Source organism: Homo sapiens, chromosome 1 (genome assembly GCF_000001405.40).
Source record: "Homo sapiens chromosome 1, GRCh38.p14 Primary Assembly".
Taxonomy (NCBI): domain Eukaryota; kingdom Metazoa; phylum Chordata; class Mammalia; order Primates; family Hominidae; genus Homo; species Homo sapiens.
This window is the reverse complement of record NC_000001.11, coordinates 207416295-207433040: the sequence shown is the minus strand read 5'-3', so window position 1 is coordinate 207433040 and position 16746 is coordinate 207416295. Positions and strand designations below refer to the sequence as shown.

The following is a 16746-nucleotide window of genomic DNA, read 5'->3' as shown; positions in this document are numbered from 1 at the left end:
TTATTAGTCCCCTCTTGACTTGAAATCTGTTAAGGCATTCTCTCCTCACTTTTTTTTTTTTTTTAAGACAGAGTCTTGCTCTGTCGCCCAGGCTGGAGTGCAGTGGCACCATCTCGGCTCACTGCAAGCTCCGCCTCCCAGGTTCACGCCATTCTCCTGCCTCAGCCTCCTGAGTAGCTGGGACTACAGGCGCCTGCCACCACGCCCGGCTAATTTTTTGTATTTTTTTGTATTTTTAGTAGAGACGGGGTTTCACCATGTTAGCCAGGATGGTCTCGATCTCCTCACCTCGTGATCCACCCGCCTCGGCCTTCCAAAGTGCTAGGATTACAGGCGTGAGCCACCGCACCGGCCTCTCTCTTTACTTGTTTTGGCATGGAGACAAAATTTGCCCACCTGCTGTTTTCAACCATTGGCCTTACTGAATCCTGTCATTTGCTAATTCCCATATCTGACACCAGCTATCATGTCCTTCTATAGGCCAAGCATTTTACTTCTTTTATTAATTATATTATGGATTTAAGTTCTTGTACCAGTTTCTTCACTTGCTGGTGGATACAACATATTTTGATCACTCTCATTCTAAAATGTGGGGGGCAAAGCTGACCTCAATATTGTACAGTGTAATCAGCAAAGAAAAGCATGAGATTATCGTCTCTTTTTTCCTGCACACTAAACTTGTACTAATGTGGTCCAACATGACAGAAGTGATTTAGACAGTTCTATCACATTATTGACTCACTGAGTTAATTACATCATGAAGTTGTTTTCTCATGTGCTGTTCATAAGCCATCCTGGTATCCATATTGAATTTACACATTTGAACATTTGAAGATTTTTATAAAATTAATAATGCAACAGTACTTATATTAACAAATAGTTATATTTGTAGTATTTCTATATGGCAGGTTTGACCTAAAGCTTTCCTAGGTCAGTATTATTTTGGATGATTATCCTTTTAACCAGCTCTGGCTATTCATCCCTACTTCACCTCAATCACACATTTAACACACATGTCATCAAAAATTCTTCCAGGTCAGTGAGAGGGCCAAAGTCAGGCTTCTTTTTGGAATAAACTATCAATTGCTAGGAATAATTATTTTGTGAGATTAGAAGTAAAATGAAAGCACACACTTATAGATCGCTCATAGGCTCCAGTAGCGTTGTTGTAGTTGAGCTATATTTCTAAACATATGGACTTTAAAAGGGTTTAATTTCCTTCACCTAGAGTTGGTGAATTTTACACCTGTTTTAATCTGCTATTCTCTGGTTTGTCTGTGTTACATAATTGAATTCACTTCCTCCCTTCCCCCATGGGTTTTGTCTTAAATTCTCACAACAGTTCCCATAGGAAATAGGAACCAAGGTACATTGCACTTGCCTTTCAATTCTTCTTTTAGGTTAAAGTATGTTTGTTACAACTGCAAATTTGAAAGTTGGTTTTAAGTCTCTGATTATTTTTTGGTTAAAATATAAGCTAATATTAGGAATAATCATATAACTTGAAATAAGACTAAATATATTGTCTTTAAACCAAAATTAAAAAGACTTCTACTTTGTGGCACTTAAAGATATGATTAATAGAAAGTTAGTTTTCAAACTCCTACAGAAATGTGAAGATATTATTCCTAATCCCAACTTTGTCTATTCTATCTTATAAACCTCTTTCAACTTTTTTCTCTTTTTTGGGTCCATTCTGCTATTTTTGTAGTTTTCACCATCATCACCTCTAACCTAGGCTTCTACAATAGCTTCCCAAGTTCTCTCTCTTTTTTTCAATTTCCAAAACTCAGATATGGGAGCATAGATAAGAAAACTTGGCAATTGACATCACAAATAATTATACTATTTTTACAGTAAAGTATATCACACAATTATAATATAATAGTCTTGCAATAAAATTATCATCTAAGTGTTACTCTTATAAAAGAGAAATCATGAAATAGGTAGCCCCTTTTAAAAAAAAACCAGGTGGTAACATAACAGAATTGTCTTAATATTTTAAAAGTATTCAAAACCCATAAATTAGCCCTAAAAAGGTAAATTTTAGCTCCATTAGTTTATAGTTTGTGGTTCCTTCTTCCAGCATTCAAGCTGGTTCCTTTGGGATGTGTAGCTCCAGAAATTTGTATTGAGGAATTGAGAAGTCAGTGGCAGGTCAACTGAGGAATACTTACTCATCTCTGAGGGCAATGCTTGTCATCCCTGACCAATTGTCAGAATCACCTGGGAAGCTTTTTTTTTAAATGTACAGATTCTCATGCCCCACCTGGGAACTACTGAATCAGGTTCACTGTTCACTGAATCAGAACAGGCTGAGAATTTATGAATTTAAAAGTTCCCCAGGTGATTCTGATAACCAACGAAGGTTGTGAACCACAGTTTTAGGAAATTCTGATAAATGGGTAAAAAATTTGAATGTCATCAAGAGGAAGTCTGCAAGCCTAAATATAAATTGTTACAGTTGCTATCAGTTGAAGACATGTAAATGCAATTTGTGGGAATGGATTTAGAGACAGAATATGCAAACTTATCCCTATTGGATTTATTTATTTTTGACAGTATAAACGCCAATGCCAGGATTAAAAATTATAAGTGTAATTATACTGACTTTGGAGAGTGAGGTTTAAATTTAACATGATTTCAAGCAGATACTTCCAACAAAATACCCCCTTGGTAACACCCTAGACTTTGTCATGTCCTAATATGGCACCACTTCCAAAATCTCTAATTCAGACATCCTGCTGTCTACATACAATCTCCACTGCATTCAGCTTACCTATTTCAGTGTCAAACTGCTTGACCTTCGTTTGACTTCATGAGAACTTTCTGTCGCCTTTCCCCTTATTCTAATCTATTTGCCCACTCTTTCTTCAGTTCCTTCCTTAATCAGTCAAAAGTCTATACCACAAGTTCAACAGCACTCCTGCCAGTAACAAACTCCTTTGCCTGCTTCCTTATGGCAACTGTTTAGAAAATCCCAAACCTCAATCATTGTTACTTTCTGCTTTCCTTACCTAAGCACTGAGATAGAGCCACATGGCAGGTTGCACTGGTGGATAAATTCAGGATAACTAATTTCAAATAGACTCAACCTTGTGTGGCAACCTTACCATTGTTTTCCTCTTTTTAATTCACTTTATCAATGATTACTTTGTATCTTCTTTATACTCCTCACCCTTCCAACCATAACTGACCCTTTTCTGCCTGTCTTCTCACCTCCTTCTTCACTGAGAAGCCGTCGGAGATCTAGTCTCCCAATTTCCTGCTAGCAACTCTAGGAACCTCCATCTGCATTCATCTTTTCTTTTTTCCATTTTCTCTCTTCTCTTATTGAAGGTCAGTTCTTTCACATGAGGTCTTGGATTCTACTCTTTCCTGATTTTTCAGAAACATTTAACTATCAAACAATTCCACTCTTGCCTGTATTTTCAACTGTGTTCTAACATTGGATCATTCCCCGTGACATTTAAAAGAGCTAAAAAAAATCTCAAAAGACTTTCTTCCCCCAACTTCTAACCCTTTCTCCTCACTTTCAGAGCTAAATTTCTTTTTCTTTCTTTCTTTCCTTCTTTCTCTCTTTCTTTCTTTCTTTCTTTCTTTCTTTCTTTCTTTCTTTCTTTCTTTCTTTCTTTCTTTCTTTTTCTTTTTTAACTTTTTGAGACGGAGTCTTGCTCTGTCACCCAGGCTGGAGTGCAGTGGCTTGATCTCAGTTCACTGAAACCTCCACCTCCTGGATTCAAGTGATTCCCCTGCCTCAGCCTCCCAAGTAGCTGAGATTACAGGCACGCACCACCACACCCGGCTAATTTTTTTGTATTTTAGTAGAGATGGGGTTTCACCATGTTGGCCAAGATGGTCTCAATCTCCTGACCTCGTGATCTCCCCACCTCAGCCTCCCAAAGTGCTGGGATTACAGGTGTGAGCAACTGTGCCCAGCCTCAGCCAAATTTCTTAATGTCTTGAAAGAGTTACAGATGGCCTGTCCTTTTCAACACCTTTTACTAATGTTCAACCTACTTTGATTTAGCCTCTGTCTCTCTCATTATGACTAACGATCACCTTCATATTGCCAAAGCCAATGAACATTTTTCAGTTCTTGGTGGAATTTGACATTAACCACTGTTTTCTTCTTGAAACAATTTGTTCTGCTGTCTTCCCCAGATATCATTATCTGCTGGTTATCTGCTTAGCTCTCTGGTCATTCTTCCTCTCTATATACATATATATCTTTTTTTCCAGTTTATCCTCCTCTGTCTGGTGATTAAATGTTGGAGTTTCTCGAGGCTGAATCCTGGGCTCTTTTCACATTCTATTATATCTCCACAGGCAAATGTATCTATTACGTCTATGACTTGAAAAATTCTAAATTGAGCTCACACCTGTCTTCTAAGCCTAAGACCCTGTATACCTTATTTTGCCTCTCCATGTGGATACTTCAGTATCAATATGTCAAACACCAAACTCAGTCCTCCCTGACAGAGCAGGAGCACCATCATCTTGGACAAACACTGCCACTTTAAGTTCCAGCTCTTTTTCTAGCCTCATGCATTTCAAGGAAATCACTTTTCTTCTAACAACAAGTGCCCAGAAAGAGCAGACAGTAAAATACAGATAAGACAGCTGGGGCACAGAGGGAGGTGGTGGGGAAGTCTCTTGGGTAACTGCCAAACTTCACCCTCATACAATGGGCCCCAGTAAAACAGTGGGCCTTAATAAGCACATTCCTTTCCATTTAAGTGCACTAAGGGAAGCTAAAAGCAGACTTGGGAGGAGGGTGGGTATGCCTGCAGCTGCAGGAAGATGTATGGGAACAGACACAAAGCTCTCCCTCCCAGATAAGTGCAACAAAGAAACACAGAAGGAGTACAAGCCTCTGATAAACTCTTCCACCCTGAATCCTTAAAAACTCTTAGTCTCTAAGAAAGTAGGCTCTAACCTAACTCAGCCAGAAGCCCCTCTCATGTTTGTTTTCTCTAAAATAAACCCGTCCTTAACTGTCAAGCCACCTTTCATGTATCTTTCCTCTTTCTTTAATTCTTACACTCCCTCCAAAGTTATTGGTTCCTGCCAATGTTTCTAATCTCATTGAATAGTACCATCATGCATCCAGTCACCTAATTTACAAATCTCAGGTTCATCCATGATATCTCATGCTTTTCATTCTCCAATATCTAATCCATCTTTGAGATCCATCTATTTTTTGTTCAAAATACCTCTTTATCCATACTTCCCATATCTTCTGCCAGCATATTCCAAGCTACCATCTCTATCTTAAAATAATGCACTTTTCTTTTAATTGATGTCCCTTCAATTTTTGTGCCTCCCATTCATATTCATTTTTGACATCACACAGAGAGTGATATCTTCAAAATGCAAATCTCATTTTGTTCTATTTGATAGAATAAATTCCTCCTTGTTATTGAAATCACAAAAAAGTCACCCCCACTCCCCTTGCACACACAATTTTATCTATCCCTGAAGCTTTCAAAATTGTTAAAGGCTTTCCATTGTTTTTAAGCTATGGACCAACATCCTTAATATCCTCAAAGTTCTTGGTTCCAAGAAGCTGCATTGTCGGGCTCTTGATGATCATTGTAGCTCTCCTTATACTATCCTCCTGGGTTTCTCTCTGCCCTAGTCATGCCGTAGGGCTATAATATTCTTTAGAATGAAGAGGTGAACAAGGTCCCTACAGATAGATTAAGACAGACAGAGAATTGATACAACCCAAAGTAGAACAGAAAAGATGTGTTAATAACCACGCCAGGTGAAAAGAAACTGTTTCTGGTGTATTTTATTAACAGGTCAAGAGAAAAATACTTTGAATCAACAGCTGCATTGCAGGTAGAAGGGTACATGCTTATTGGCTCTAATTGGATTCAGGCTTTCATTAAGTTAATGTTAAGCCAATATCATTTTCTGCATTGGCCAAGCAGGTGAGATGAATGAATATGTTGCAGAAATCATAAGTGATGGTTACATTAATTTGTGCAATTTTTCCAGGAAAGTAGTATTGTTTTTGGTTTAGTCTTTTGGTAAGTAGAGGAAGTTCTAAGGGTTTCCATTGTCCTTCCCTACCAGGAAAATAAACTGTGTAGGAAAACAATATTTGTAGTCTACAAGTTATTGAGCATATGTATTCCAACTATGCATTCCTGAATTGGAAAATAGCCATAAAAGTTCAGGGACCACATGTGCCCACTCATCATTTACCTGTATCAGTCAAAGGGACAACTTACTCAGTTAGCCAATGCCAAGTATATTTGTGGATCAGCCACTCTGAGTACTGCTTTTTTGCCTGGGTGTTAATTACAATAACCTCCTCCATCTGGTCTGTTGAGTAAGTGCTACCACTTGGCCTTTACCCCTTCAGGATCAAATTTCTCCACTGGATTCAAAGAGGTCTTTTCCCTCCCTTCCCTTCCCTTCCCTTTCCTTCCCCTCCTCTCCCCTCCCCTCCCCTCCCCTCCCCTTCTTTTTTTTTTTTTTTTTTTTGAGACAGGGTCTTGTGCTTTCACTCAGGCTGGAGTGCAGAGGCATGATCATGGCTCACTGTAGCCTAGACCTCCTGGGCTCAGGTGATTCTCCTGCTTTAGACCCCTGAGTAGCTGGGACCACAGGTGAGTGCCACTATGACTGGCTTTTTTTTTTTTTTTTTTTTTAGAGACAGGTTTTGGCATGTTGCCCAGGCCAGTCTGGAACTCCTGGGCTCAAGCAATCAGCCCACCTCGGCCTCCCAAAGTGCTGAGATTACAGGTGTGAACCACCTCACACAGCCAAAGAGGCCTTTTGATGACAGAATTTCCCACTGTAATTTCTGGCCTGTAAAGGAAATCTAGTACAGGGGACTTAAAGAATGCTGAAATTCCTCTCAATGTATTCCTCAAACTCTTGGGAAGGTTGTAGCCTTCAGATTCCATGGGTTGGGGCAAAATTAGGTGGCAGGTGCATAGCTTGAACATATTTCATTTCAGAATTCCAATATCCTTAGTGTTTGAATAATAAGAAAAAAGCCTTATATGTTTATCTATGTAGTTACCATTTCTGGTGCTCTTCATTCCTTTGGATAGGTCAATATTTCCATCTGGTATTTTCCTTCTTCCTAAAAAAACTTTAACTACTATTATCTTGTGAGGTAAATCTGCTGGTTATTAATTCAGTTTTTGAATATGTGATATGGTTTGGTTGTATCCCCACCCAGAATCTCATCTTGCATTGTAATCCCCATAATCCCCATGTGTTAAGGGTGGGACCAGGTGGAAGTAATTGGATCATGGGGGCAGTTTCTCCCATGCTGTTCTCGTGATAGTGAGTTTCACGAGATCTGATGGTTTTACAAGCATCTGACATTTCAACTGCTTGCACTCACTCTGTCCTGCTGCCCTGTGAAGAAGGTTGTAGGTACATGAATGTGCTTTGGTCAACGAATAGGCCGAGGTGAATATCCAAGCCTGCATGACTCGGTGAGTTTGGTGCTCAAGCGCACACCTCCACTTGTTATATAACCTGTTTGTGTAAGTTCATACTTGGCTCTGAGCCACTATTGTCTGTAAAAGGTATAATTGCCCTGTTAACGCTCTACAGGGGCTCTTGGGGTTTGGCTCAGTGCAACATGGCTTGACATGATAGGCACACTTGCACCCAGACAAAGAGAGAGTCAGAGCTGTCTGTCTTGAGATGGACAGGAGGGAGCCAGGACACAGCTTGGCCCACTAGTGCCCAGAGACAGAAAGAGTTAAGCTGCTGACCCTAAAGGCAGGGGACAGCCAGAAGCACAGCTGTATGTGGGAGCCACGAGCTCAAGCATCCGAGGCAGGCTGGATAGTGTAAAGAGCTAGTGTGAGAAACCTGTTAATGAGAGCTATTGCTGAATAAAACCATATTCACCTGCCTACAGTCCCCCGCGTGACATTTGGCGTAGTCGTGGACCTGACATTTAGAGTCTTCAGCAGGATGAGGTGAGTGGGTGTTTAGTCCCTGAGGACTCCTGGGTCGGCTATGAGGCACTAGCGGGGGCTGTGGTACCCGGTGGCGGAGGTGCTGCTTGGATGAGCCCCAGTAGAAATGAGGAAGGCAGTGGATAGGTCTTCCCCGAGTGTGGAGAAAGCACTAAAGCAGCTGGAAGCACACAGCACCAAGAAGGAACGCACCTTCGATGGCAGAGTCAGATGGGCGTTTCTGACTGCACTGAGGGAAGTACATGCCCAGTCCCACAGATAAGGGACCTTCCGGCACAAGCCCACGCCTGGGGCCCCAAGTGCACAGCTTGGAGCAAGACCTGGGGGTGGGGGACCTTCAGGTGCAAACAGGGCACTTGGAGGCTCAGACAAACAGCCTGAAGCAGGAGTTGGAAACAGCTGTCAGCTCGACCTTGAGCCTGTCCTCCTGGCCGGAGACTCCCGTTCCGTCTGATGCTGACAGGGAGAAGGCTCCTCCACCACTGTGGGCTCACCCTGTAATCCGTCAGAAGGTAGAACATAAGCAGCTGATGGGACCCCAGTGGAGAACCCAGGGACGACCCCCGCCCCCCGCCCGCCCCAGCAAAGTGGTGGAACACATCTCTTCTTTGCTCTTGTCACCCAGGCTGGAGTGCAGTGGCGCAATCTCGGCTCATTGCAAACTCTGCCTCCCGGGTTCAAGAGATTCTCCTGCCTCAGCCTCCCGAGTAGCTGGGATTACAGGCACCTGCCACCACACCCGGCTAATTTTTGTATTTTTACTAGAGACAGGGTTTCACCACGTTGGCCAGGCTGGTCTCAAACTCCTTACTTCAGGTGATCTGCCCGCCTCAGCCTCCCAAAAGTGCTGGGATTACAGGCGTGAGCCAATGCGCGCCCGCCTGAACACACCTTTTATTGTGCTTATACCCCTGCTGAGTTGTGGGAGTTAGGTAAACAGTGCCGGCAGTGTCCGAAGGAGCTGATGGCATTTCTTGCGCCTCCTCCAGGAAGGAGAATCTGGCTTCTATCACAACTCACTCCTCCCTTCATCAGCGGCTACAGCTGCGCCTACGGTTGTCACAAAGGCAAGGTGACCACACGTTAATTGAGTGGCTAATGGCAGCCATACGGACTTTTTAGAATAATGCCGGAGAGATACCAAAAACTGTGAGTAAACGGCAATCGTGTACTGATTTGGTGCAGATACTCTGGGAGATGCGGCAGGCTGTGTTTGATCTGCAAACCCAGGGGCCAAATAATGAACGCTTTACCTCTCAGGTGAGGGTTCTTGTGCTGGGCTCAGCGCCCCCCAGTGCTTTTGGCTCTGTAGCTGCTGTTCTCACTCCATATGTGGGGCGCTGCATACATGAAATGACTACTGCTGTGGCAGCCCTTGGGGAGCAGAAGGCGGTCGGTGGAACCGGAAAGTCCGCGCCATAAAGAAGGGGAAGGTGCCCCGCCCCCACCGGTAGCCACCCCACGAGATAAAAAGGGGCCCCAGTGGGTGGCTTTCATGCAGATGTGGATTTAATTGCAGCTGGGGTTGCTTGGGAGAAAACTGACAGGCGACCCAATGGAATGCTGTTGGCTCTGTGGAGGCAATTGTCCCCGGAGCAACAATTTCAGAGAATGCCCAAGAAGAGACAAAACAATGTTGTTCAACCTACTCCCGCCTGGACACTGCAACTCAAGGACTATTTGCAGACAGGTGGAGATACAGGGCCTTTCCTGTTTGATTAGGGAACTGGCCCAGGTGCCCGGCCCGAGCGGGCGCCTGATGACCCTAGTCTATATGTGGAGCTGGTAATCCACTCGTCCCCAACTAATGTACAGTGGGTCCTAGCACTGGTAGATACTGGTGCACACTGCTGTCTTCTTTATGGGAACCCGGATAAGTTTCCGGGCAAAGCTGCTTTCACTCACGGTTATGGTGGCCAGTCGGTGAAGGTGAAACCTGCGTTCCTGCATCTTGGCATTGGCTGCTTGGCCCCCCACCTGTACACTGTGTATGTCTCTCCCATACCTGAATATATTCTGGGGGTGAACATTTTGCATGGTCTGGACTTATACACCATGGCCGGAGAATTCAGACTCCCAGTTCATGTAGCAAAGCTGGTACTGCGGGGACATACACATCATTAGCCCCAAGTTCTGCCACAACCCCGATGGGTTACCTCCACTCGTCAATACCTTTTGCCAGGGAGGCATACCGATATAACTGAGACTATTCAGAAGTTAGAAGAGGTGCAAATAGTGCGTGGCACCCATAGCCCCTACAATTCCTCGGTATGGCCGGTCAGAAAGCCTGATGGGTCTTGGCGGATGACAGCGGATTATTGGAAACTGAATAACACCCTCACTGCATGCAACTGTACCCTCCATCACAGATTTGATGAATCGCTTGACAACAGAACTGGGACAGTACCACTGTGTGGTGGACTTGACCAATGCATTCCTCTCAATAAACATTGCTCCAGAGAGCCAGGAACAGTTTGTCTTCATAGGAGGGCGATGATGGACATTCACAGTGTTGCTGCAGGGCTATATGCATAGCCCCACCATATATCACGGTCTTATTAATGATGTTATGCTCACCTCTGATTCTCTTGCAGATTTAGAAGTGGCAACACCACTCTTGCTTGGGATTGGATGATGTGGCTGAGAGAGTCTTTCTGGCACATAGGTTATTTAGCAGGCACAAGCCCAATGGGTAGTCGACTAGAGGTGCCCATTTAAGCTAGATGTGCATGTCACCACAGATGAGTTTCAGTTAGGGCTTATAGCAGCACATGGAGTGCCTGAGCATGCCAATAGGCTTTTGGTCCCAACTATGGAAGGGAGCTGAGCTCCAGTATTTCTTGGTAGAGAAGCAGTTAGTAACAGCAGGATGGGTGTGTTCATGGGTAACCACCCCCTCAACTGGGAAAACAGTAACTGCATATGCTGCCCTTTAGGCTCACAAAAGTGTGTCAGGATGGGTTACAGTCATCGTATGGGCCACTTACCTAGTAGCGGGAGGGGTGTGTTCATGGGGAACAACCCCCCAGACAGGGAAGGCACAGACATCCACTTTAGCAAAGTGGGGTGCCTACTTGGAGCAGCAAAGTATGCCAAGTCCCTTAGCAGCAAAGTTGCAAAAAGTCTTGGGACCTGTAGTCCTAATGCAAAATAAGACTGTGGGGCCTAAGGCATCCCTAGACCCTATGCTTTCACCATTAGGAAGAGCGTCCCCCCATTCCTAATAGGGCATGGTATACAGATGGGTCTAGCCAAGGTGCTACTGCTGCCTCGACTGTTGTTGCAGTCCAGCCTAGTACTGACACCATATGGTTTAAAACCAGTGTACGCAAAGTAGCTAATGAGCTAAACTCACAGCAATGTAAATGGTAATCACCAAGAAGGTAACACTGATGGTAATCTGTGCCAATAGCTGGGCAGTTTATCACAGCTTATGTATGTGTCAAATCTGTATATATACATTGGGCCTGCGTGCCCAATGCTTATGGGTCAGGCTTATGTGTCAAGCCTATGTGTATGTATTGGGTTTGCATGCCCAAAGTTTATATATCAGGCCTGTGTGCCAAACCTGTGTATCAAACCTGTGTGTCCAAGGCCTATGTCTCCCTCGGCCTAGGGGATGGAATGTAAGGTACACGGATGTGCTTTGGTCGAAGAATAGACCAAGGCGGATATCCAGGCCTGCAGGAATCAGCAAGTTTGGTGCACAGGTGCAAACCTCCACTTGTTATATAACCTGTTTGTATAAGTTCATACTTTGCTCTGAGCCACTATTGCCTGTGAAAGGTATAATTGCCCTGCTAATGCTATACAGCGGCTCGTGGGCTTGGCTTGGCTCAACATAGCAGGTGCACTTGTGCCCAGAGAAAGAGAGAGTCAGAGCTATCCATCTTGCAGATGAACAGGAGGGAGCTAGGACATAGCTCGACTGGCTTGTGCCCAGAGACAGAAAGAGTTAAGCTGCTGACCCGAAAGGCAGGGCAGAGCCGGCTGTACAGCTGTATGTGGGAGCCACTAGCTCAAGCAGCTGAGACAGGGAAGACAGCATAAAGAGCTAGTGTGAGAAAGTTGTTAATGAGAGCTGCTGCTGAATAAAACCATATTCACCTGCCTAAGGCCCCCTGAGTGTTCTTTCTGCCCATCCACCCACTTCCCTCATACTTCAGCATGGGCTAGACCCAGACCCCCGGATCTGACAAAGGTGCCTGCTTCTCCTTTGCCTTTTGCCATGATTGTAAGTTTCCTGAGGTCTCCTCAGCTATGTGGAACTGTGAATCAATTAAGCCTCTTTTCTTTATAAATTACCCAGTCTCAGATATTTCTTCATAGCAGTGTGAGAACAGATGAATACATATTGTCTCTGACAATAAATGTGTTCTCACTCATATCATTCTTCGTCTGTACATAAATATTTATTTCTGATTACTTTTATAATTTTTTAAATTGGTTCTGAGTAACTTGATTAAAATATGACTTGGTGAATTTTTTTTTCATATTTCTTGTGCCTGTAATTTGTTGAGATTCTTTGGTCTGTGTGTTATGGTTTACAACAAATTAGTAAAATATTTGGCCATTATTTCTTTAAATAGTTTTTTTTTCTGTCTTCCCTTCCCTCTCCTTATCTTTGAGGACTCCAATTCCATATATATATTCAACCACTTGAAATTATCCTACAGCTCACTGATGCTCTGTCCTTTTTTCTCTTCTTTCTATGTTTCATTTTGGATACTTTCTATTACTATGTCTTCATGTTTGCTCATCTTTTTTCCCGAAATGTCTAATCCACTGTTAATCCTATCTAGTGTATTTTTCATTTTGAATGTTGTAGTTTTCACTTCCAAAAGTTCAACTTAGATCTTTTTTTTGTACTTTCCATGCCTTTACTTACCTTTTAGAACATACAACCTATGGTCATAACTGTGTAATGTCCTTATCTGCTCACTCCAACATCTGTGCCAGTCTGAGTAGGTTTCAAATGATGGATTTATCCCCTCATTGTGGACTGTATTTTCTTGCTTCTGCACATGACTGCTAATTTTTTTATTGGATAGTAGACTTTCTGAATTTTACCTTATTGGTGCTGAATATTTTTGTACTTCTGTAAACATTCTTGCACTTCATGCTTTTGTGCAGTTTACCTAAAATATGTGATCTTTTGGGGTCTTGATTTTAATATTTTTTTAGGTGAGGCCAGAGCAGTGCTCAATCTGGAGATAATTGTTCCAATTCCAGAGCCAAAATCTTCTGGCATGCTACATAAACCCTCATGAATTGTTAATTTTCAGTCAAGCTGGTGAAAACAGGCACAGTTTCTGCCTGCGTTAGGGGCTGTTCTTGCATTGCCATAAAGAAATATCTGAGAGTGGATCACTTATAAAGAAAAGAGGTTTAGGCTGGGTGCAGTGGCTCAGCCTATAATCCCAGGCCTTTGGGAGGGTGAGGTACGTGAATTGTTCGAGTGCAGGAGTTCAAAACTAGCCTGGGCAACATGGTGAAACCCTGTATCTATAAAAAATACAAAAGAAATTAGCTGGGCATGATGGCATGCACCTGTAGTCCCAGCTACTGAGGAGGCTGAGATGGGAGAATCACCTGAGCCTGGGAAATTGAGGCTGCAATGAGCCGTGATCACACCACTGCATTGCAGCCTGAGTGACAGGAGTGAGACCCTGTCTGAAAAGAAAGGAAAAAAAAAGAGGCTTAACTGGCTCATGCAGGGTTTACAGAAGCATAGTGTTGGCATTTGCTTGGCTTCTGGTAAAGCCTCAGGGAGCTTTCAATTATGGTGAAAGGCAAAGGGAGAAGTTGAGGCAAAGGGAGAAGTTGATGTCTCACATGGCCAGAGCAGGAGCAAGAGAGTGGGGGACAGGGGACTGCCACAAACTCTTACAAAACCAGATCTCACAAGAACTCATTCATCACCAAGGGAATAGGATAAGCTATACATGAGGGATACTCCTCCATGACCCAAATACCTCCCACCAGACCCCATCTCCAACGCTAGAGACTACATTTCAACATGAGATTTGGAAGGGACACATATTCAAACCATACCACTGCCCTTTTGTGAATGGCAAGCACTGTCACAAGTAATCCTTTTCTCTAACCATGAATATTTTTCTCACATGAATGCATTGAATGGTATTCAGCTAAATACTCAAGAGCACCTTTTGCAGATCTCCAAAGTTCTCTTTTTCTGCAGTTCTCTTCTATGTCTCTGTCCTGTGAACTTTACCTTCCTAGCTTCCTTGATCTCCCCATACTCTCAGTATTGTCTCAACTTAGGTAGTTCACTGCCCTCCACTTTCATTCCCCTTCCCTGTGCAGCAGTCTGGAGATTCTTTCAAGACAGTAAAGTAGGGCAATCATAAGTCTTACATCATTTGTTTCCCATCTCACAGGGATCCCAGTCCTTCATTATCTGATGTCCAATGTCTTTCAAATAATTGTTTCCTATATGTCATCTATTTTTTTGTTATGTAGGCGGGAGGATAAACCCAGTTCCTCTTTTCCACCTTTGCTGGAAGCAGAAATTTCCTTTATGGTTAGATACCTTCCTCTACAATATACTTAGAAAGCTCTGACATTCTCCAGTCTATTCAGCATAGGTCACCTTTGAGTTTAGGTTTTAGTCAACCAGTGGAGCAGATTTTTAGAGCCACTCCCAGTTGTCTAAGCTAATGCATCAAACCCAGAATCTTTTGTTAGTGCTCTCATGCTGAAAATGCACTAATGCTAGCACTCACCTGGTAAAAATATATATATGACATATTTCTTTCACTCTGGTCTAACATGTTTAAGATCCACTCCCATTTATATTCCCTGGATTTCTACAGACATAAATAAGAGAAATCTGGAAATTCTTTCCATGTATATAATACTTCCTCCCAGGTCACACATAAAATCAAGCCTGGGGAGCTGAGAGAACTTAAAAATAATTATAGATCTAGAACCAATGAGAGCTGCTGGAGGTGGGTCTTGATGAGGATCAGCATTCCCCTCCAAGGTAACTTCTTTGGGAAGTTCATTAAAGCCTCTTCAAAATAAACATTTCTCATTGTAAGTCTGTCACCCACAGGATATAACTTTAGTTCTTTTTTTTGTTTTGTTTTTCTTTTAAGAAATGTTTACTCGTTGACTACGTGAGATAATTTTGGGGGGGCCTTCAAAAAATTTCTTGTTCTTTATTCAAGCTTGAATTGAGAATTTAAAGTCTTGATCATATAATTTTCTTTCTCCAAGTTCTCTGATTCAGAATCAGTCAGTAAACCATATAGTCTTTATGTTATCTTCATTTCTATTAAAATAAGCTTTATAGGCAGATGCAAAGATGAGAACGACATTTATTTTACTCACAGTTGTAGGAGGTGCAATGTTGCGCTTGTTCATACAACTTCTAAATATGAGATTAATCAGCTTTGCCCACTGTATGCTAAGTAGGTAGGGTTTGTAACAAAGTTATTTAGGTATCTTCATGTGGATCATTACTACCATGTTTCAACAGTAAAGCCAATAGGATTTGCTCTGTTGCCCATGCTGGAGTGTGATGGTGCGATCATAGCTCACTGCAAACGTACCCAACCATAAGAGATAGTTAAGTAAAGTAGGGTATATCTATGGAATATTATTACATGCCTTTACAAAAATAATAAAATACTTATGAAACATTGAGAAGTAAAAAAAAAGCAGCATGAAACAAGAAAAAGTCATTTATAAAACCAAATTTTCTAGTGGCTACTTCAGCATTTTAAAAGAATGACAGAATAGCAAAATTCTTCTTGGGGAAAAACTGCTCTTTTGTTTAGGGAAGCTTGATGAAGGAAGTTCTTTTGCTCTGGGAGGCAAGGCCACAGGCCAGTCTAGATAGGGAGAGGTTTCAAAAAATCAGGAGCCAAATTATTCAGTGTGACAGAATAACAAGAGTTTTTAGTTTTTACGTTGATGGCCTGAAAGATAGAATGCTGGAGCACATGATCAGGAAAGAGAGGCAGCAAAAAGATCAACAAGGTTGTAGTAGGCCAGGGAGCAGTGAAAGGTTGTTTCTGTAGTGACAATAAACATCTCCTAATTGCATGAGAATACCTGCTCCGGAATTTTTTTTTTTTTTTTTTTTTGAGTCAGAGTCTCACTCGGTCGCCCAGGTTGGAGTGCAATGGCGCGATCTCTGGTTCAATACAAACTCCGCCTCCCAGGTTCAAGCAGTTCTCCCACCTCAGCCTCCTGAGTAGCTGGGATTACAGGCGCCCACCACCACGCCCGGCTATTTTTGTGTTTTTAGTAGAGACAGGGTTTCACCATATTGGCCAGGCTGGTCTCAAACTCCTGACCTCGTGATCCGCCTGCCTCGCTGCTCTGAATTTTTACCTTTATATTCTACATATTATATGATGTTTTTAATTAGAAGAAAAGAGCATGATAGTTATTCCAAGTCAGGTAATGGTTGGATAAAAAATAATGATTATCTTACCTATCAGTTGCTGAACTGAGGCCCAACTGGTTAACTAGTTGGTTGGATGTATACACTAGGTCAGTGCAGGTTAGCAAATTTGTGCAACATTGACACCTACTATTTGTTTTTAACTTGTTTTTCTGCTTTCTTTTGGCAATAATCTTCTGCTATTGCTAAACCTTTAAAAATGCTTTTTAAAAAACATGTCCAGCAGCAATGTGTTTTTGGTGTTTGGGGAAATACAGGAATGGGAGCTAGATGATAAAAGGAAATGATAGCAGGTGCATAGGAGGAGTCAGATTGAGTCGAGGTCAGCTAGAACACACTGTTTAATAG

The 16746-nt window shown here is 42.5% G+C and overlaps 1 long non-coding RNA gene across 1 annotated transcript, besides 1 other annotated feature; it reads right to left on the bottom strand.

Annotated features, from left to right (window-relative positions):
- Positions 1 to 8150: 8150 nt before the first annotated feature.
- On the bottom strand, positions 8151 to 16696 carry LOC105372880 (uncharacterized). The gene is made up of 3 exons (XR_922484.2): positions 16429 to 16696; positions 8853 to 9011; positions 8151 to 8456 (listed from the first exon to the last, which is right to left on the bottom strand). It is a non-coding gene; the product is annotated as an uncharacterized LOC105372880 (long non-coding RNA).
- Positions 8323 to 8462: an enhancer, noted in NCBI's record as "active region_2446". NCBI's record gives its function as "activates an Ori minimal core promoter by ATAC-STARR-seq in GM12878 lymphoblastoid cells {active_cell/tissue: GM12878}" and the evidence as "EXISTENCE:reporter gene assay evidence [ECO:0000049][PMID:35858748]".
- Positions 16697 to 16746: the final 50 nt, after the last annotated feature.